The following is a 23,022-nucleotide window of genomic DNA, read 5'->3' on the forward strand; positions in this document are numbered from 1 at the left end:
CTGAAATCCAGATAAACACAGAGAGATTACCACCTATGTAATCCTGTCTCCACTTCATGCTTAAAGCAGAGTTGTTGATTCAGTGGTCCAAGCTTTCATTCCAAGCCCCAGTAACCCCTGATGATTTCTCTGAATTCTCCATTGTACATGTACCAGATACTGAACTTGATCTGTCTCTGTAGAATAAATCAGCAATGGAAAAAAAAATTATACAACCCTTCAACTCCAAGTCTTCAAAAGATTCCCCAAGACTTGCAAATGTGAAGTACTGTGGGATACTGCATATTTATCAACAGGAGCTCTGCATTCTGGCTTTTGGTTGGGGTGAGGAGATTTCAGGAGGAGCAAATATAGAAATGGTGAAAAAAGAGACAAGTTGTGGAAAGTGCTCTAGTGTCATAAGGAGAAAGCAGAAGACTCCAGAGACACCTGCTATCAAAGATCGGAGAAATTCCCAAACTGGAGAAGGTCCTGGAACAGGAGCAGAAGCAAGAAACCACTTGGATTCAGCAGGTCCTGGGCTGTGGGTGGTCGGGGAGACACTCAAGAGCCCAGAGCATTTTAAGGCCATCACTAACCACATGTAAACAAAGTGATATTTGTAGATGTTCTCTATAATTAAGGTCCTTCTACAACATGGTATTCGGAGTGCATTCATAGGTTCAAGTTGGGTGGGCTCCCTATTCAGCAGGTTGTATTTTACCAGCAGCTGAATGGGATTTAATATTAGGTAAAAAGACATTACCAAAATAGTAATAAAATTTAGACCCTCCATGCTAAGATCAATGCTTACTCTTGAGTTATAGAAAACTTGTGCAAAAACCACACCTGCCACCTATACTCTTCTATTTTCTTGGTTCCACCTACCTTATAATCATCTTTTATCTACCACCACCTCTAGCCCTAAAGCTCCTAATACTCCACTAATCTGTCCCTCTGAGGATGGGCTCATTGACATATTTGCTGCAAAATCGCCTTGTTTTGTAGCCGCCCTTTTTCCCATGGGTAATGCATATATCTGAACCTACCCCACATACTCATTCACTTGGAGACTAATTTGAAAGATCCGATTCCCAGAAATCTGTTTTAATATGAAGCCTATAAAACTTTCATATGACTTTCTGTGTGTCAGTCAAAATTTTTTTAGCTCTCACTGCAATAACCTCTCAACAGTGGGGATAGAATGAGGTTAAAAGATACATGAACAAATCATTGCTAAAACATTTTGAGAGCTTTCATCTGAACTAACTTTGAGAGTTAGTTTAAAACCACACCAGGAAACCAGGCCTGATACACAGACCTTCTATAACACGCTAGCCCTCATGTTAGTATTTGGTCCTTATTGGGTGAGGCCATGCTGCTCCCCTTTACTGATGGAAAGAGTCTTCTACTGATGGGAAGGAGAATACTTTCCCATGGATTCTACGTCAGAACCCTCCTACAATGTATTGAGTCATCTGGGACACTCCATTTAGTGTCTCTGGGCTTCAGTCTCCTCATCTCTGAAATGTAGAGGGGCAGGTAGGGTGGGGGGAACTAAACCAGGTCATCATGAACATCCCTTCCATTTCTAACATTCTGTGACCATTTCACTGGTGATAGGGAAGCCTCAGGTCCTAATATCTGCTGAGTCATTCTGTCTCAGGCTTTGGATTCATCTTCCATTGCTCTGATTGAAAAATGATAAACTCTGTGGTAGGGATGCATGTCCCTGGAATGTACCAGTAACCAGAGGCACAAAGGTCCCTAAGAACAGGGACCACCTGTATTAACTGGGATTAGGTATAGTAGCATATAATGGAATGCCCAAAATAACTGAGACTTAAACATAAAAAAGTTTTTCCCCTACAAAAAAACGAAAAACAAAAACAAAAACAAACAAACAAACAAAAAACCACACACGAAGAAGAAGGCAACGTATACAGAGACTAAGATTCCTTCTCACCTTCTGTTCCACCACTCTCAGTGCATGGCTTTCACACTTACAGTCCTGGATGACTACTGAAGCTCCAGATACCACATTCAAATTCCAGGCAGCTGGATAGATAACAGAAAAAAGTCAAAATAGGCACACTTTCAGCAGAGTCACCTCCCTTTAAAGAGCCTTCCTGGAGATCCGTATAAAGTTTGCATTTGGATTTCAATGACCAAAATGTAGTCACGAGGCTACATACAGGTGCAAGGGAATCTAAGAAATGTAGTTTTTAAGTGGGCACATTGCTGCCCTCAGTGATACAGGAGCTCTGTTGATTGGGAATAAGAGAATGAATGCTGAGTAGACAACCTGCAGTATCAGCCACACCACTTTCATGTCTTCTGGAGTACCTGCACTGTCCCTGGGAGGAGCTCATTCAGTGCTGTTGATTTGATCTGACTGTCAGCAGCAGGTGATCTGATCTAGAAGTGGCTTTGCTTTCTGCTGGCATAAACAAACATCCTCTAGTCTGTTCCTCAGAAAAGAGGCTGCGCATATAAGCATGGTTTTTCCAGTCTTTGAAATTACGAGTTGGTCAAAAACATTGATGTTCTCTCTTGGAAACCACAGCTATGTGTGAAAATTAAAAGAAGTTACTTCAATGTTCTAAGCTATTAAGACTTCTGAGTTAAATTAGAAATGAAAACTCACTGTGTCATTCTCTGTCCTCAGACTCACTCAGTGATTCTCCCACCTATAGATTCACAGAGACCAATGGAAAGTAATTTCTTTTCTTCTTTCCTACTATTTAAAATTGTATTATTATTATTATTTTGTAGAGATGAGGTCTTGCTATGTTACCCACGCTGGTCTTGAACTCCTGGCCTCAAGTGATTCTCCCACCTCAGCTTCCCAAAATGCTGGGATTATGGGTGTGCACAACTATGTCTGACCTGATAGAAAGTGACTTCATCTGAAGGAGTGTAGAATCAGGGAGGAGTACCTGGTGTGCCTTAACTGTGCTACTGACCCATTCTCTCCTAATGGTAGGCTCCATATACATATTCCCTCAGGAGAAGAAAGCATTCATGGACTAGTTCTTCTTGTCCAATCCCTGTATTTGTAAGAGTTCCTTGCCCATAAGAAAAGGAAAATGAGATACAAAGTGAATTATGTAACTTGCCTAATTTTAGAGGCAGAGATAAGGTAAAATTTGGTTCTCAGCTCCCAGTACACTGTTCGAATCAATACAACCCAAACTATATTGAAAAAATATATATCTACTATTGAGAACCAAATATTTAAAATTATGAAGCTTTTTCAGTTGCTATCTGCACCGATTTTGTTATCCAGAATTTTGATTCTTGATTTTATCTTGCCCAACCTGTGTTTTGCCTAGGTCTCTATAACAGTCATCAGTTTAATTCAATATTTATTGAAAGCTTACTCTGTGATCAGTAACATGTTATGAGGGAGATACAAAAGGATCATAAGACATGGCCTTATAATTCTATTGTATTGTTAAGATATATGACCATGAATTAATGAGGTTAATTTTCAAATAAATATACCAACGACTGTCTATCTATGTGAGTGGTATATCTTCTTAGGAAGCATTTAGCCCAATGATGGTGTTGTTGTCAAAATATTTTTAGAATTCATATTTGGGAATTATTTTCAATAGGTGAACCAAATTATCTTAAATGTCCTCAATGGCTGTTCAATGTTTTGCTTTAAGAGTGGATTTTATTTGGGGGAGAAAGTCAAAGTCATTCAGACCTGAGTCTGATAAAGCAGATTTGAGTGGTTTGGTTTCCTGGTAACATTCAGTCAGCCCAGGATGGTCTTCTTCTAGGCTTCTTTTTCCACGATAAAAGGACAGTGGTTCTCAAACTTGAGTGTGCATCAGAATCACTTGGGAGACTTTTTAAAACACAGATTTCTGGGCTCCAATTTCTGATTCATCAGGTATGGTGGGGAAGCCTGGTATTTTATTTTTTAATTTAATTTTATTTCATTTCAATAGTTTTTGGGGAACAGGTGGTTTTGGTTACATGGATAAATTCTTTAGTGGTGATTTCTGAGATATTGGTGCACCCATCAACTGGGCAGTGTACACTGTACCCAATGTGTGGTTTTTATCCCTCATCCCCCTCCAACCCTTCCCCACAAGTCTCCAAAGTCCATTACATCATTCTTATGAGGCCTGGGATTTTATATCTCAAATGAGCTCCCAAGTCAGGCTAATGCCACTGGTTAGGGAATCACACTTTAAGAACCACTGCTTTAAGACAGTTATTTTAGGTTTTTCATTGTATATAGCTGCACTTAATCTTTTCAGATACAGATCACCCCTCCACTCAAGGAGCTTCCTTCCTGCCTCTTATGCTGTGTCCTGGGTACTTCGTGGCCTTGCACATTCCAATTAGGCATCTGGACATGTGCCCAAAGCCCCTACCACAGAAGGGATCACTTTTAGCCACAGCCACAGAGGATGGTACTAAAGCTTATGATGAAAAGTGCTCACGGGCATTTCTATAATTAAAACTTGAGCCTTGCCCAGCGCTCAGGAGTGTTACAGAAGGTTAAAGCCAGAAGGGGTGTTAATTATCATCTAGTTCAATTCCCTCTACCTCTTCTCCCCTCATTTCAGAGCTGAGGAAAGCAGGTCCCAGAGATGCTAAGCCCAGTGTCCAATATCACCCAATAAATTACAGAAGAGTTATTATGTAGAGTCCATGAGAAAACATCACAGTCACCCTCTAGCTTCAGAGGGCAGGATAGTGATCTCACCCAGTCAAAGCCAAATGCAACATGAGGTAGGTCTAATATGATGTATGTATCACCCAAACAACGAATAATAAAAATCTGGCTGCATGTTTCTACCCTAAACAGTCCAGCAGTTTGGGGTCCATAAAAAAGTATAGTACTTTACCAATGTGGGTTTTACTCCTGTCATAAAGCCATGTTGTTAAGACATACATAACCAAATACTCATTTTTGCATGCAGCGGAGTGTGCCAGAGTCTGAGTCCTATATTCAGTTGACTCTGTTAGTATGCAATCAAAGCGGCATCTCCTGAGCGCAGAAGACAGCTACAGCAATCCTGAAGAGAGACACGGCTTTGCCACTAAAATAAACCAAACAACTAGTCAATATGCCTTAATCTCACAGCCTAGGTCTGGCTTACCTATGGACCATAGATATGGCCAATCTCATTTGAATTGCCACTGAGAAAATCTAGCCTTAGGAAAAGTTAAAACTTGTAATGATACCAATCCCTTGGAGTGGTAGATTGGCAGCAATCAGCGAAACATTAAAACTTGGCTACGGAACACTGAAATATGCTAGGTAGGTGCTGTGGTTTGAATGTATGTCTCTCTCCAAAATTCATATGTTGGAACTTAAATTCCATTGTGATGGTATTAAGAGGTGGGGCCTTTAGGAGATGATTAAATCATGAAGATGGAGCTCTCATGGGTGGGATTAGTAACGTTATAAAAGGGCTGCAAGGAACTAGCTAGGCCCTCTTGGCCCTTCCACCTTTCCACTGTGCTAGAAAACAGCCTTCCAGAGGACACAGCAACAAGGCACCATCTTGGAAGCAGAGACCAGACCCCCACAAGACATCGAACATTTCTGTTCTTTATAAATTCCCTAAGTCTCAGATATGTTGTCATAGAAGCACTAATTCACTAATACAGTAGGTGAGCTACTTAAAAGAGCATTAAAAAAAGTCAAAAAGAGAAAATAGCTAGTCTTAAAATGCTATGGAGCTTAAGTCATTATTTCTCACTCTTTTTAGATGCCGCAGAAGATCTAACTCTTAACCTGGACCTATTCAAAGATAGATGTTGAGAAATACAGATCAATGGCTCAAAAGCTTCTGAAAGTGATCAAGTAGAATATTTTTATTTTTAAATGTAAAATATCACCCCCGACTTGTTGCGAAAAAGTGGGGTGGAGGAAGTAACACCATTATTCATTCCCTCTATGGTGAAATATTCCTTATACTTAAGATGTAGTAGTCCACTCCATCTCCAATGATACATCTGTTTGTAGGAGACGATGGGGAGGTGAAGTGAGGGGCAGCTAGAATGCACATCCTCCGACTTTCTTTCTTGTAAACATTCACGGTGTTTACATGGGATCAGAGAAATGGTCAAGAAACCAAAGGGGTTGATTTGGCTGACCCCTAACAGTGTCTTAAGCATCAATACAGTCAACATGTGTCCCAGTTTCTTTCAAATTGATACCAGTTGATCGAATGACACTGACATTTTGGAAGCAACAGTCAAGGAAGAGGATGCTGTGAAGGGTGAGTTGGAGAGCGGCAGACAGAAAGACTGGAGTTTCGGGAAAAGCAGAACCTGGGGAAGCTTGATTTCTCTGTCTCACTCCCTGGAATCGGCTGGATTTACGATGGTGAATTAGGTTTGCAAGCCCCAGCCATAGGTGCCCAACACCCTGTTCCATTTGCTCTGCCTCGCAGTATTCTTCCCTGCCATCCCTACCCCTGAAGCCCTCTTTTTGGCCCCCAGAATCCTGCTAGAAACTCTCCTCTAGAAAACCATCCTGACCAATCTACCTACTGGCTGTATCTCCAGCAAACTTTTAGATACATTTCCTTAGAGTGGGTCCAGTGCATTCTTGAATGTAAGCATCCTACCCTCCCCTGTTTCGAGTCTATCAAAAGCTGCTCTTTTATTTCCCTTATGGACTCTGTCCTCATCACTTTCCCTGTTCTTCCAGCTTCTCCCCTTAGCCCATGGGGTGCTAACTGTTTAGGTTCCAGGAAAAGGCTGCCGATCTGCACTCCCTAATTGCCCCTGTATGTTAGGGCTGAGTTGATCTCAGATGCTGCTTTCTTGCAGGTTGAGAGAGCTTGAAAATAGAGGTCTGGGAAAGGTCCGGAGAAGAGTCCTAAAAAACTCACAAGGGCAGGCGTGCATGGTTGCTATGGTTACCTGGCAGCTTGGTTGTCTAGCCACCTCCTCCCAACAAGGCAACACTTCTCTGTGAAGCACAGAGAAGATGCTTAAACCCAATTCACCCCAAGAGCCGGGGGAGCAGTGACTTAGTCACATCGTCTGCTTGTCACAATGTCAACAGCAAAGTTAGGGGTCACCGGGGCTGTGAGGGGAGCACACATGGAAAGCTACTTTGTGAATATTTAAGATTAGAATGTGATTAAGCAGTCAAGCCAATGTGCCCTGCACTCTCTGAATTTTGTTCAGTTTTGCTTGAACTAACGCCACATCCATCAGTGTGGTTCTTGCCATGCCTGGCAGCCAAGCACATGGGCACACACAGGGCTTGGCAGCGGGGAAATGGGCTGAGACCCAGTCAGGACAGTCTCGTCTTTCTACCTGAGCCTCAAACTATGCTTTTCCAGGCTCCAGATGGTGATCATGATTGTTAAAAAGCAACCATTATCCCTGTTAATGAGGATAATAAAACTAAACAATTCATAAGCACCGATAACATATGGAACATCCTACAAAACACAGATTTACCCAGCATTATTGGGAAATGAAGTTTTCCACATCAGTGAATTTTCTGGAAAATTAGGGCTTACCCCTTTTTTTTAATCTTCAGGTTTTTTTATTTCAATAGTTTTTTGGGAAACAGGTAGTATTTGGCCACATGAATAAGTTCTTTAGTGGTGATTTCTAAGATTTTTGGTGCACCCATCACCCAAGCAGTGTACCCTGTACCCAAAGAGTAGTCTTTTATCTCTTGCCACTGCCCACCATTTCCCCCGAGTCCCCAAAGTCCAATGTATCATTCTTATGCCTTTGTGTCCTCATAGCTTAACTCCCACATATGAGTAAGCACATATGATGTTTGCTTTTCCAGGGCGTACTTCTTTAGCGCTGATTTTCTTTTTCTGAAGATATTAACCAGTTGGGATGGAAATACGTGTCAAACATGTAATACATTCTCCCATCTTGCTAAATGGTGTAACAAATACTACATACACCATTTTTCCTGGATCTCTCCTTATGAACATGGAATGAACCACAGGGCTGAGGAGAGTTCTCCATCCATACCATCTTTGGGTCTTGATTGGGACAGTTAGCCCACTTCGCCTTGACCTAGTCAGCTGTATTCAGGTCTCTCTGCATTTGACAGTAAGCTCCTTAAGAAGGAACCAGGCCTTCCCTATCCTTCACCTTCATCCCTTACAGCCTTGCCACTCAAAAGGTGGCCCTCAGAATAGCAAATCAGCACCACCTAGAAGCTTATCAGAAAAGCAGACTTTCTGGCTCCATCCCAGACCTACTTAATGAATTAGATTCTGAATTTTAACCAGATCCACTGGTGATTCATATGCGCATTGAAAGTCGGGAAATATTACCCTCCAGTTGTGCATGCCAGCTTGTCCCTGACCAGTTATATCAGCATCACCTGGAGTTTCTTATTAGACACAGAACTTGGGGCCCAGTACAGAATCAGAATCTCTGAGAAGTGGAGCTCAGAAATCTGTTTTTATCGAACTCTACAGGTAATTTTGATAGAGTATCCAGCCCTAGGCCTTGCTCAGGGGAGGTACTCAATAAGTCTTTATTAAATTTAATGGAATTCTTATATTTGTGTTTTATGTTTATCCTATCTCCTGGGTGAGCAAGGTGAAAGGTGTTCATACTTTTGTCTACGTAGGTACAATTGCCATTTCTGATTTTCTAGCATAGTGACTAAGATCTCTAGCTTCACTAGTGAAAGAAGCCAAATACACTATGTAGATATTTTATGATTGTATTTACATGAAACGTCCTGAATAGACAAATCCATGGAGACATAAAGTAAATTAGTGGTTGCCAAAGACTGGAGAGAGGGAGGAATGGGGGAGTGACTGCTGGTGGGTATGAGGTTTATTTTTGGGGTGATTAAAATGAAATGTGAAATTAGATGGTGGTGATGGGTACACAACCTTGTGAATATACTAAAAACCACTGAATGTACCCTTCAAAAGATAAAGTTATGTGAATTATATCTCAATTTTTAAAAGGTCTCAGGTTTTAGAATCAGGCCACCTGTGTTCAAATCCTGGTCTTGCCACATAGAGGCTATGTAATCTCGGACATGTTAATTGTCTTTGAGGCCCAGTTACATTGTATGTAAAGAGAATAACAAAGTGCCTATGCCAGAGGTTTGTTATGAGATTTAAATAAGATAATCTTTGTAAAAAGTGACATGTGTTGGCTGGGCGTGGTGGCTCACGCCTGTAATCCCAGCACTTTGGGAGGCCGAAGTGGGCAGGTCACCTGAGATCAGGAGTTCAAGACCAGCCTGGCCAACATGAGGAAACCCCATCTCTACTAATAATACAAAAAATTAGCTTGGCGTGGTGGCGGGCACCTGTAATCTCAGCTTCTCAGGAGGCTGAAGCAGAAGAATCGCTTGAACCTGGGAGGCAGAGGCTGCAGTGAGCTGAGATCACGCCATTGCACTCCAGCCTGGGCAACAAGAGCAAAACTCCATCTCAAAAAAAAAAAAAAAAAAAATGACAGGTGTTAGAGCTCAAGACACACCACCCCAAAATATGACTGCAGGAGACCAAAATACACCACCCCAAAAATAGACCTTTTTGGCATATCATTTTGAGCAGGTTATTTTGAGAAATTGCAGACACAGCGTAGCTCTGAAAAGTTGCCCTTTTGTAAAGGAAATTTACATTTATAAAGGAAATTTTTATTAGTAAAGATGTCTGTACCAGAAAGAGAGCTGCTCCAAGATAACATTTATCACCTGAGAAACTTTTATCTTCATAACAAGACAATCTTTGTTCACCATGCATTTCCTCCCCTCATTCTTTCCTAACTAGTATGCATACCCCACAGAAGCCCCTAACTCTTATTCTTTAGTGTAGCTCAGCATGCTGTTATAAGCCTCAATCATCTCACCATTTCTTTAAGTCACATTTTTGTGGGACTCCCATGCATACACTATTAAAATGGCTTTTCTCCTGTTAATCTGTTTTATGTCAATTTAGTTTGTAGGCCAGCAAAGAACCTAGAAGAGTAGATGAAAGCAATTCTCTTCCTACACTGGTACAACACAAGTGCTAATACATTTTTCCTGCTGTAGGGGTGAAAAAATGTGTAATGCCTTTTTGATCACCCATCACAAGGATTACAACCAACACTCCTATAATAAAGGACAAATTAATAAGAGGCAAGCATTACAAATTTATTTAAAACCAAAATGTTATGTGACACAGGAGACTTCGGAAATGAAGACCTAAGAGCTGGGCATGGTGGTGCCTGCTGTAGTCCCAGCTACTCAGGAGGCTGAGGTGGGAGGATAGCTTGAGCCCAGGAGTTTGAGTCCATCCTGGGCAACGTGGAAAGACCCTGTCTCTTAAAAGAAAAAAGAAGGAAATGAAGAACCAACAACCCAGGGAAAAATATTGATTTTTTTTATGCTTGGTTTCAGTGAAGAATGGATAGCTGTGTAAAAATGTGATTGGACAAAAGGGTATGAACTAACAGTAGTAGACTTAGGGTGTTGGGAGAGGGAGTAGCAAGGCCTGTCCAGATTCTTCTTGACCTCTCTGTGTAACACTCTTTCCTCCATGCATAGGACAGAACATCTGTCACATAAAGAAGAAGATCAGAGAGTGAACTTTTTAGGTTTTGTGGCTTGCTTTGGGGAGAGAAGTTTTAGTTTCTGTGACCTGCTTTAGGGGAGAGGAATTGTATGTGACTCACTTCCAGAAAGAAAGACAGGTGGGAGACAGGTCAGAAAGACCTTGTTTCTGAGACCCTTCCAATCTTTTTCTTTTTTTTTTTTTTTTTTTTGAGACGGAGTCTCGCTCTGTCGCCCAGGCTGGAGTGCAGTGGCGGGATCTCGGCTCACTGCAAGCTCCACCTCCCGGGTTCACGCCATTCTCCTGCCTCAGCCTCCCGAGTAGCTGGGACTACAGGCGCCCGCCACTACGCCCGGCTAATTTTTTGTATTTTTAGTAGAGACGGGGTTTCACCGTTTTTAGCCGGGATGGTCTCGATCTCCTGACCTCGTGATCCGCCCGCCTCGGCCTCCCAATTCCAATCTTTTTCAATTCTAAGTATGTAGCACACGAAAGAACCATATTTTGGAGTATCGTGTTTTGACCTTCGAACTGCTCATTTTGAATCCAACAATTCTTAAACTTTAAAATGCATAAGAATCACCTGGTGAGCTTCAAAAAATGAATGCCCTTGGATTTTCAGATTTGTAAGTCTAGAGAGTGGCTTCAGAATCAACATTTTTAATATGCTCACCATTCTGATTACAGATGGTCTGGAGATGACACCATGAGAAATAGTATTCTAAACTCTTGTCAACTGGAAAAATAAACAATGTTTTTAAATTATTCATTTGTTTCCCATTTAGAATTTATAAACTGGAAAGAACATTGCTTCTACCCTTACACCCCCCAAAATTTTGGATAATCTACAAATTTGTTTTTCTTGAACCTATCAGAGAGCTGAGGTTGAAAGGGAAACCAGCAAACCCAAAATCTAAGGAAACATGGACATCTCCAAAGGGAGACAAACACAAGCACTTGATTACCAAGGGCAGAGGCCACTGCTCCCAGATAAGGATAATTCAATGAAAATTTTTAGCAAATTGTTAAGGGCTGAGTTTAGGCTAGCAAGAGACTATTAAAGCCCTGGGGACCCAGACAAAGGAGAATTTACCCCTTCTTGCAGGCTTTTCCCCACAGACCTTACTGAGTACACACATAAAAGATGGGGAGCAGGACAAGAGACTTCAGATAGCATCCCATGTGCTGCAAGCCTGGGAGAAAGTAACAGCTGCCCCCACGGGAAATGCATAAAGCCACATTTGGATCTTTGTCCCTGATATCTCCCCCACAGAACAAAAGCCTTAAAATGTTGGTGGAAGGCAACAATCCCTGTCACTCTTAGAGCACTGATAAAGAAACCATTGCACCTGGGAGAAGGAGAGAGGTGGGGGGCAAACTCTACAGCTATAGGAAGAAGCAAGTATATGTTTTGGGCCCAGACCTAGAGCTAACGGTAAAAGAGGACCACTGAGAAAGCCCCACCCCCAAGACTCAGAGACACAATGCCTGCCTATACCTGAGACTTCTTTCTAAAATAATTTCAAATTTGATTTTAGATTCAGGGGGTACATATGTAGGTTTGCTATACATGAGTATATTGCTTGATGCTGAGGTTTGGAGTATGAATATTTCTGTCACCCAGGTAGTGAGCGTAGCACCCAACAGGTAGTTTTTCACCCCTTATTCCCTCCCTCCTCTCCCCTTTTAGTAGTCCCCAGTATCTATTCTTGACATCTTTTTTTTTTGTTTTGTTTTTTTGAAACGGAGTCTCCCTCTGTTGCCCAGGCTGGAGTGCAGTGGTGCGATCTCGGCTCACTGCAAGCTCCGCCTTCCGGGTTCACGTGTGTTTTTAGTAGAGAGGAGGTTTCACCATATTGGCCAGGCTGTTCTTAAACTCCTGACCTCGCAATCCGCCTGCCTCAGCCTCCCAAATTGCTGGGATTACAGGCGTGAGCCACCGTGCCCGGCCTTGTTGCCATCTTTATGTCTATGAATATCTAATGTAAAGCTGCTACTTATAAGTGAGAACATGCAATATTTGGTTTTTTGGTCCTGTTGTTAATTTGCTTAGGAGCATAGCCTCCATCTGCATCCATGCTGTTGCAAAGAATATGATTTTATTCATTTTTATGATTGCATAGTATTCCATGGTGTATATGTACCACGTTTTCTTTATCCAATCCGCCGTTGATGGGCACCTAGGTTGATTCCACATTTTTGCTATGGTGAATAGTGCTGCACTAAACATACAAGTGCATGTGTCTTTTTTGTAGAATGATTTATTTTCCTTTAGGTATGTACCCACTAATAGGATTGGTGAGTCAAATGGTAGTTCTGTTTTAAGTTCTTTGAGAAATCTTCAAACTACTTTCCACAGTGGCTGAACTAATTTACATTATCACTAACAGTATATAAGCGTTCCCTTTTCTCCACAGCCTTGCCAGTATCTGTTTTTTTTTTTAACTTTTTAATAATTTCTATTCTGACTGATGTGAGATGATATTTCATTGTGGCTTTGGCGTTTTCATTTCTCTGATGATTGGTGATATGAAACATTTTTCACATGTTTGTTGGCTGCTTGTATGTCTTCTGAGAAGTGTCTGTTCATGTCCTTTGCCCACTTTTTAATAGGGTTATATGTTTTTTGCTTGTTGAATTGTTTAAGTTCCTTATAGATTTTTGGATATTAGACCCCTTGTCGGATACATTGTTGCAAATATTTTCTCCCACTATGTCGGCTATCTGTTTACCCTCTTCATAGTTTCTTTTGCTATGCAAAAGCTGTTTAGTTTAATTACGTCCCATTTGTCTTATTTTTTTTTTTTTTTGCAATTGCTTTTGAGGAGTTACTCATAAATTCCTTCTCAAATCTAATGTCCAGAAGGGTATTTCCTAGGTTTTCCTCTAGGATTTTTATAGTTTGAAGTCTTAGATTTAAATCTTTAATCCATCTTGAATTAATTTTTGTATGTGATGAAATGTAGGGGTCCAATTTCATTCTTCTGCATATGGCTAGTTGGTTACACCAGCACCATTTATTGAATAGGCAGTCCTTTTCCCATTGGCTATTCTTGCCAACCTTGTCAAAGATCAGATGGTTGTGTCTGGCTTTGTTTCTGAGTTCTCTCTTCTATTCCATTGGTCTATGTGTCTGTTTTTACCAGTGCCATGCTGTATTGGTTACTATAGCCTGATAATACAGTTTGAAGTCAGTTAATGTGATGTCTCTGGCTTTGTTCTTTTTGCTTTGAATTGCTTTGGCTATTCAGGCTCTTTTGTGATTCCATATGAATTTAAAATAGTTTTTTTCTAATTCTGTGAAAAATGATAATTAGTAATTTGATAAGAACAGCACTGAATATAGATTGTTTTGGGCAGTATGGCCATTTTAACAATATTAATTCTTCCAAATGTTTTTGGAATGAAAAACGTTTCATTCCAAAATGAAATGTTTTTCCGTTTGTTTGTATTATCTCTGATTTTTTTCAGCAGTGTTTTATTGTGTGTGTGTGTGTGTGTGTGTGTGGCTATTGTAAATGGGATTACATCCTTGATTTGGCTCTCAGTTTGAACGTTATTGGTGTATAAAAATGCTACTAATTTTTTTTACATTGATTTTGTATCTTAAAACTTTACTGAAGTTGCTTATCAGGTCTAGGAGCCTTTTGGTAAAGTCTTGAAGTTTTCTAAGTATAGAATCATATTGTCACAAAGAGAGATAATTTGACTTATTTTCCTGTTTGGAGGCCTTTTATTTCTTTCTCTTGACTGATTGCTCTGGTTAGGACTTCCTACAACTGAGGCTTATTTAGAACAACAGAGAATGCTTCCCCCATACCCTACCACCAGGCTAACAAGAATCTAGTAACAAATAGTAGTAGTCTACTACTGAGAGAGATGCAAAAGCAGGGAGAGAGACCCTCACTGGGCACAATGCAAAGGGAAGACCTAAAGCTGAGTATAGAGCAGATATTGGAAAAAACCTTCTGGCAAACCAGCCCCCACCCTAAACACAAGATATGGAGGAATATGAAAACTGTGTTACGCTGAGGGTAACCATATCAACAAAAAAATCCCAAACTGGTTCAACTCTTAGGAGGATTGACTCATCTCCTACGTTAAATGCCAAGAATAAGGAAAAGCAAGCCCAGTTCCAGGTCTAACAGCTATAGTCATCTATCTCTTAACAGAGGGGATACATTCTGGGAAGTGTGTTGTTACGCAATTTCGTTGTTGTCCAAACATCACAGAGTGTACTTACAGAAACATGGATGTAGCCTACTACACACCTAGGCTATGCCATATGGTACAGCCTATGGCTCCTAGGCTACAAATCTGTATAGCCTGTTACTGTACTGAAGACTGTAAGCAATTGTAATACAAAGGTAAGTAGTTGTATATCTAAACATATTTAAGCACAAAGCAAAGTAAAAATACAATATTATAAATTCATGGAACCACTGTTGTATATGTGGTTTGTCATTGACCAAAACATCATATGTGTCACACGACTGTATTTAACTCAGCCTCTACTAAACTACACAAGATGTCTGGCATTCATCACAAAATTAGAAGGTATACAAAGAAACAAGAAAAGCAAAAACACTGTCAAGAGGAATAGCAATCAACAGAACCAGACTCAGATATGACACATGGCAGAACTATCTAAAGGGGAATTTAACATAACTATGATTATTATGTTAAAATACTCCAGATGAAAAAGTGACAACAGGTATGATGAGATGGGTAATTTCTGCAGAGAGATGAAAACTATAGAAAGAATCTAATGGGAATGATAGAAATAAAAAATACGACAGCAGCTCTGAAGAATGATTTCAACTGACTCATCAGTAGACTTGAAACAGCCAAGGAAAGAATAAGTGAAACTCAAATAAGCCAATAGAAATTACCCAAATTTACCACGTGCAGTGGCTAATGCCTGTAATTCCAACACTTTGGGAGGCTGAAGCAGGAGGATTGTTTGAGCCCAAGAGTTTGAGACCAAACTGGGCAACATAGTGAGACTCCATCTCTACAAAAAATTTAAAAAGTTAGCATGGGTGTAGTGCTGTGTGCCTGTAGTCCCAGCTACCAGGGAGGCTGAGGTGGGAGGATCCCTTAAGCCCAGGAGGTAGAGGCTGTGGTGAGTCATGATCATGCCACTGCACTCCAGCCTAGGTAGCAGAGCAAGACTCTATCTAGCAACAACAACAACAAATTACCCAAATTGAAACCCAAAGGAAAAAAGAGTAGGCAAAACAACAACAACAACAAAAAAAGAACAGAGCACCCAAGAGTTGTGCGACAATATAAGTCTAATATGCGTGTAATTGAAATCGCAGAAGAAAAGAACACAAAGCAAAAGTTTGGATAACATATTTAAATTTACCTTCATTTACAGTGCTCTCCATTTCTTTGAGTAAATTCAAGATTCTGTCTGGTATCATGTTTGTCTGCCCAAAGAACTTCCTTTAACAGTTCTTGTAGCTCAGGTCTGCTGGAAATAAATTCTTCCAGTTTTTGTTTGCCTAAGATCTGTAATTTTTCCTCATTTTTGAAAAATGGTTTTGCTGGGTATGGAATTCTAGGTTGACAATTTTTTTTCTTTCAACTGTAAGAATGCCACTCCACTGTCTTCTGGCTGTTTCCACTAAGAAGTCTGCTGTAATTGTCTTTGTTCATCTAAATGCAATGTGTCTTTTACTTCTGGTTACCTTTCAGAATATCCCTTGTTTTTCATTTTCAGTGATTTGGATTATATATGTAGATGTGTGTGTTTTGCTATTTATCCTGCTTGATGATCTCTGAGTTTTCTGGATCTGTAATTTGGTATCTTAATTTTGGACCTAACTTTGCCTAACATTAGGGTATAATTATTTAGCTGAGAACTAAAGAAGGAGATCTTAGTCAGAAAAAGAAAGGGTAAGCAATGTTTCAGAGAAGAGGGTCCAAGAGACAAAAGAAATGGCATGATTAGTAGCCTACAGGTAAGGAGAGATCCTCACACTTTAGGCAAATTAAAAAGACTTATAACTAAGTGAAAAGAGTGAATGCAAAGGTGCAATAGATAAAATTGACAGAGGATTCATTTTGGAAGACTGTGTAACCACATTAAGCATTTGTTATTATGGTAAACAGTGAAGGTTTTTAAGCAGTAGAGTGACATAATCAGATTCAAATTCTTAAATCCTAATTCATAATGATCACTCTGCCTGCTAAGTAGGGAGTAGATTGTGTGCAATGTCTTAGAAGCCAAAACAAATTTTTGGATAGAGTCTTCAGCTATGGACTCTTCTCTTCCATATTCCTTTACCTATTATATATCTCCTAGTCTCCCTGGAAAACTTACCTGTGCTATGGTCCATTCCTTTGGATCTTGCTAAATGTTTATAAATATCCTTCACACAGCTGAACTGTGTTTTCCAGACTCCCTTGCTGTTAGATGTGGCCACGTGCCTGAGTTCTGGGCAATATGAATAAGAAATAAACTTTTATTACTCTATATCACTAAGATTTAGGAGTACATAGTTACAGCAGCTCACCTACTCTTACAAATAGACCTAGTAACTACCTAATTAACAAGTAAAGTAAATTTCACATGGCTAGTGAATTCCTTGGATTAATATATTATTACGTGAAAATGTTATATCTTATAGGGGCACTAAGAAATTCATAAATAGATTAAGAAAACCTAAGTAAAAGTTTGTGTATTCTCCAACTCACACAAAATCAAGGGCCACACACTTTATTTTACCAGTCTACCTTTAGGAAGTTTCTGACAAAATCCTTGGGATTTATCATCTTAATTAAGCATGGTATGGTACAATGGAAATTTCCTTACATTTGCAATAGGGAGACTAGCATTATTCTTTCTGAAATGTTACTGACCAGCCATGTGGCCTTAGAAGAAAATCTTTTTTATTTTTTTAGACATGAAATCTCACTCTGTCACTCAGGCTGGAGCACAGTGGTGTGATCATAGCTCACTGCAGCCTTGAACTCCTGGACTCAAGTGATACTCCCACCTCAGCCTCCCAAGTAGCTGAGACTACAGCCATGCATCACCATGCCCAGCTAATTTGCTTTTATTTTTTTAGAGATGGAGGTCTCACTATGTTGTCCTGGGCTAAGGCAGTTCCCTCCACCTCAGCCACCCAAATAGCTGGGATCACAGGTGCAAGCCACCACACCCAGCAATTTCTTATTACTTTGGTTTCCTTTTTTTTTTAATCTGCGAAAGAGGGAATAATATTAATACCAATTTTCATGGGTAAAGGATTATACCATGAAGATTAAACAAGGCAATATCTGTATGGTAAATTGCTATAATTGTACTAATTATTTTCTCTTCCCTGTATCTACACCCTTTGCCAGGTGAAATTTCTCTATCAAAAGGAATGGAGTACATTTCCCCACACCTTGGCACGGAATTCATGTGACTTGCTTTGGCCATTATATGAGACCTTGCAATGTTTGCTTGCTTTCTTGTGCCTCTTCTATCTTTTCTTTCATTACCATGAGAACATGCCTAGGTTAGCTTCATGAAAGATAAAAGGCACATGGATCAGAGCTGAGTCCCCCAGGTCATCTGATAGCTCAGATCAATTGACAGCCCCAAACCCCCAAGTATGTGAATAAGCCTAGCCAAAATCAGCAGAGTCATGTAGCAAACCTCTAGACTTACGAGCAATAAACCCATATTGTTGTATGCCCCTGTGATTTCATAGTTGTTTGTTACACAGCATTATTTTGACAACAGATAACCAATAGTCTGGGAGATTAGGCTCCCACAAACTGTAAAGTATTACACAAATGTAAACTATTAAAGCTTAAGGATGGCAGAAAAATATATATGTATCCAAGGGCTCCCTTGGTCTATGAGATATTAGAGCCTATACAAAATCTCATTAAATCCTGTTTCAGAGAGTCATGGGATCCCAGTTCGTGTTGGACAGGACATTAGAGAAGATCCAGTCTTATCATTCTACTTGTGTATGAAAACTATTCTCTTCTCAGTAACATAGATTCTCTTTTGTCTGTACCAACAGACTTGTTCCTTCTAGCACTTCTATGCTCTAACAGTTACAAAAGACATCATCTTTAAATCCTGCCGTCTCTCTAGCAATCCCTGTGCACACAACCCAGGAAGCTGGGTCTGGTTCCATCCCGCTCATTTGGCCACTTCTCTGTGTTGACATCTGTCAGTTATGCTCTGATCATGCTGCAATTTGCAATTTTTCCAGATGCTTTCAACATGCGGCCACTTTGACAAGCTAAAAGCTGCTAATGCTGCATCATTTATCACATTTTCCCATGTATTACATTAATCTTAAAGACCCAGCTTAATGCACACAAGGACATCCTCCCTGAATACAGAAGGGCTAGTCTACAAGTTTCATAAAATAAGCATCCTCCCAGATCTCCAAAGGAATAAAAAGCCACAAGAATAAATTGGAAGAGAAACCAGGCAAGCTGTTTTGTATTTTCCAAAGGAATGAGGAAATTATTTAGCCTGATTTCTCTTTCAGGCATCTCACACATTGTTATTGCTGAACAAATACTTATTATTCTCTGAACAATGAGGTAATTCGAGATGGACCTTTTCTTCCCTAAAAGGAATACGGAGTCTTTCCAGGTCCCATTTCTGCATCCTGGATGGTATCTTCACCTTAGCTGCTGAAGGATCCTTTTTTCTCTAACCTAGAATAAGGCAGGAGGCAGAGTGCCTGTCTAGAAAAGTGACAAATCAGACATGACATACATATAGACCCATTACTTCTGTCATATTTCTCCTCTTAACTTTTCTCAGCAATTAAGGTTTCCATGAGCCTCCCACTCCTTTTCAAATCCTGCTCGTGAGGCAGTTGTAATTAAATCTCCTTAATTTCCCAGTGCTGCTTCTTCATAAAATAACTTTATCTTAGAAAAGTTTCCCTTCTAAATTTCCCCAAACACTCTTTCCTAACTAGGGCTGTGACGGAAAAAAATCTTTTCCTTCCTTTCTTCTAAGTCTAAATTCAAGTCAAGCACTACCTCTTGCAGGAAGCCTTCCCTGACAACCTAACCCAGCCTCATTTCCAGGCCCTTTCTCTGGACTCCCATAGCTTCTTATACACAACTCTATTATAATATTTACCACACTGTCTTGTAATCATCAGTGCCCTATTGTCTCCCACACTCAGCTTGTGCAAACAGAACAGGCCATGCCTCAATGGACTTTGCATCCATGGAGCCAGTTTTGCCAGTAGAATACGAGAGGAGAAACACTGACCAGTTACTTATCCACCCTCACAACAACTATTTTGTTTCCCTTGAGAGTGCTGTCAATGTGCTAAGCTTAATTAGGACACAGCCTTTGTTCCTACCTTGTTAGCATCACAAAAAGAATAAGATGTCATGATTTACCTGGTGATGAGCTTCATGGAATCTTCTGAAATCGTCAAATAACGTATCAAGTAATCTTTGAGCACCTGACATGGGGCCAGATTTGTACTAACCACCACAGTGGGAAGGGAGCAGTAAGAAGGATATAAAACTAGGTTTCAGATCATAAGAAATACATTATCTCGTTAGAGATTTAAACATATGTGTGTAAAACACTAACTTTACATCACAGTATATAAGTGTTATTTGAGTCACATAGACAATCATAGCTAGTTAAAGAATTCAGGCCGGGCGCAGTGGCTCACGCCTGTAATCCCAGCACTTTGGGAGGCCGAGGAGGGTGGATCACGAGGTCAGGAGATCGAGACCATCCTGGCCAACATGGTGAAACCCCGTCTCTACTAAAAATACAAAAATTAGCAGGGCCTGGGGGCGGGCGCCTGTAGTCCCAGCTACTTGGGAGGCTGAGGCGGGAGAATGGCGTGAACCCGGGAGGCGGAGCTTGCAGTGAGCCGAGATCGCGCACTGCACTCCAGCCTGGGTGACAGAGCGAGACTCCCTCTCAAAATAACTAAATAAATAAATAATAAAATAAAAAGAATTCGGAGAGGGAGAAATTACTGGAAAAGGATGAACGCTTTTTAAAGCAGCTTTGCAAAAGCAGCGAGTGTTGGACCTTGAAGGAGGGTAAGATCCCAGCAGAGGGCAGAGAAGCAGGCGCCGCCCTTGCCAGGAACAGCGTAAACAAGGGCGCCGAGCAGGATCTGCACAGTCTGTTTAGATGTAAAGAATAATGAGTAGACTCGCCCGGCTAGGATGAAGGCCCTGTGATGAGAATCATGGGAAATTAGGTTCCAAAGCCTGGCCAAATTATCTTCATTTTTTTCCCCCAATAAAAAGAACTGCCCAAGTCACCTACTTCTAAGAGACCCCATCGTATCCTTGTCCTGAACAGGAAATGTGCACTTAAGCAGGGAATGTGCATTATTACCACAACTCAGCCACCACCAATTACTCCTCAAGAGCACCATGTTAACTCCTCGCTAGCCAAGGCAGTTTCTCACACAGATGAAGCCGTCTGTGCTTCATTTATTTCCACCAACCAGCTTAAAGTGTACCCCCACTACATGCTAATAATCCATGTACTAAACTCCCTAAATAACTCAAAAATGAAGAAGATAGAATTCTTAACCTCAAAGAATGTCTTTTCCTCTTATTTTTCTTCTGTCACAGTTGTCTCCTCTTCTACTATTTCTTAGAGACAGTATTCGTTTAGGAGTTCCATCAAACCTTCTGTAGCCCTACCTTGCTAAACACATCTTAATCATGCTGGCAGATTTAAAAAGAGAAGAAAGACAAGCCAGTAAATAATTTGGCTTCAAAGGGGAAGTGGTTAAATTCTCAGCGCCTTCTTTATAATGTTAGATCTTCAGCCATTCTCCCCTCAGTGGTTAAGAGTGGCCTCCAACTGCCAGAAAACATCTTCTGCATCTCCCTCTGATGAGAAACAAGACGTCTCTCTTCTTGTCTAAATGAGGAATTGAACCCATGGCCAGGCCAAGAGAGTACAGTCCAACTCACCCTTCTGAGCATGACGCGGTCCAGCCTCTGAGCAGGTCCCCAAGACAGCACAGGAAGCCTGGAAAACCTCCCTCTCACTGTGCCAAGCCATGTGTCTCCTTTCATTTAAATACTTCCTGAAATCCCACCCTCTTGGTGCTCCCTGATGACTTCAGAGAATAATAATGAACTCCTTCCCTTCCTCAGATCCTGTCTCTCCACGAAAGGCTTTTGGCCACTTTCCCTGATCACACCCCCAACCCCAATCAGGCTTTGCATTCTTCTTTGCTCCACACTCCTAAATATATGTGCCCTTGAAGTGTACTCACTATAAATAGCCTGCTTTTAACTCATCTGTGATACTGTAAACCCTTTCTGGCGGTCCAAGAAGTCTTGAGCTTGTTAGGATCTAGGGAACTAGCCTTGTTTGGGGTTGTTGTTGTCAATGAACTGAGACAGGACTACATCAAACAAGCATTTCTTCGCATAGTATTTCCTCACTTAGGTCATGTGAATGATAGCAACTGTAAAAACCAATTATTTCTATAGCATTTATAAAATGCTTTCTGATCCATGACTTTATTTTATTTTTCTTCAAAATAACCCAGTGAAGTATCATTTGCATAATCCTCTCTTAATAAGGAAATGGAAGTTAAAGGAGATTTAAAAACTTGCCTTTGGTCAAGCAATAAATGGGGCCAGGAAAATTATTTGGGAATAATTCCATGTAGATGCTGCACCTGACACCATAAATAAATCTCAGATGGATTAAATGGTTAAACACAAAAAAATAAAACTATTAAGAAGAAAGCCAAAGATTTGCCTGATCACTAGATGAAGAAAGGTATTCTACACATAAAAGCAATGGAGGCCGGGTGCAATGTCTTACACTGGTAATCCCAGCACTACTATGGGAGGCCAAGGAAGGAGGATCACTTGAGCCTAGGAGTTTGAGACCAGCCCAGACAACATAGCAAGACCCTATCTCTACCAGAAAAAAAAATTTGCCAGGTGTGGTGGCAAATGCCTGTAGTCCCAGCTACTTGAGAGGCTGAGGCAGAAGGATCACTTGAGCCCAGGAGATTGATGCTGAAGGAAGCCATGATCACATCACTACACTCCAGCCTGAGTGACAGAGCTAGACCCTGTCCGCCCATATACACACACAAAAAAGCAATGGAAAAAATCCCAAAAGAAAAACATTCTGCTCTTGCCTGCCACCATGTAAGATGTGTTTTTGCTCCTCATTCGCCATCTGCATGATCGCAAGGCCTCCCCAGCCATATGGAACTCTGAGTCAATTAAACCTCTTTCCTTTATAAATTAAAAAAAGAGAAGAAAAGATCAGTCTACATAAAAATATAAAACACTTATGTGTCACAAAACCAAATAGAAAGCCAAACAGTCTGAGGGAGAATTGCCTGAGAAAGGAGTGCCTTCTCAACTATAGATTTCAGGCAAAAATATTTTTAAATCCCTCTAAATTAAAAGATATTACAAAAAGAGCAGACAACTTGTAGAAAAGTAAATACAATTAGCTAATAAACTTATTTTTAAGGTTCAACTTTAGTAAAAATCAAAGATGTAC

At 40.6% G+C, this 23,022-nt stretch overlaps 1 long non-coding RNA gene across 1 annotated transcript in view; it reads right to left on the reverse strand.

Moving 5' to 3' along the window:
* Positions 1 to 23,022, reverse strand: part of LRRC52-AS1 (LRRC52 antisense RNA 1) — a 105,314-nt gene that overhangs the window by 29,293 nt on the left and 52,999 nt on the right. The window contains exon 4 of the long non-coding RNA NR_026744.2: positions 16,840 to 16,953. This is a non-coding gene — a long non-coding RNA (LRRC52 antisense RNA 1). The remainder of the gene's footprint in view (positions 1 to 16,839; positions 16,954 to 23,022) is intronic.

Source organism: Homo sapiens, chromosome 1 (assembly GCF_000001405.40).
Source record: "Homo sapiens chromosome 1, GRCh38.p14 Primary Assembly".
NCBI lineage: Eukaryota > Metazoa > Chordata > Mammalia > Primates > Hominidae > Homo > Homo sapiens.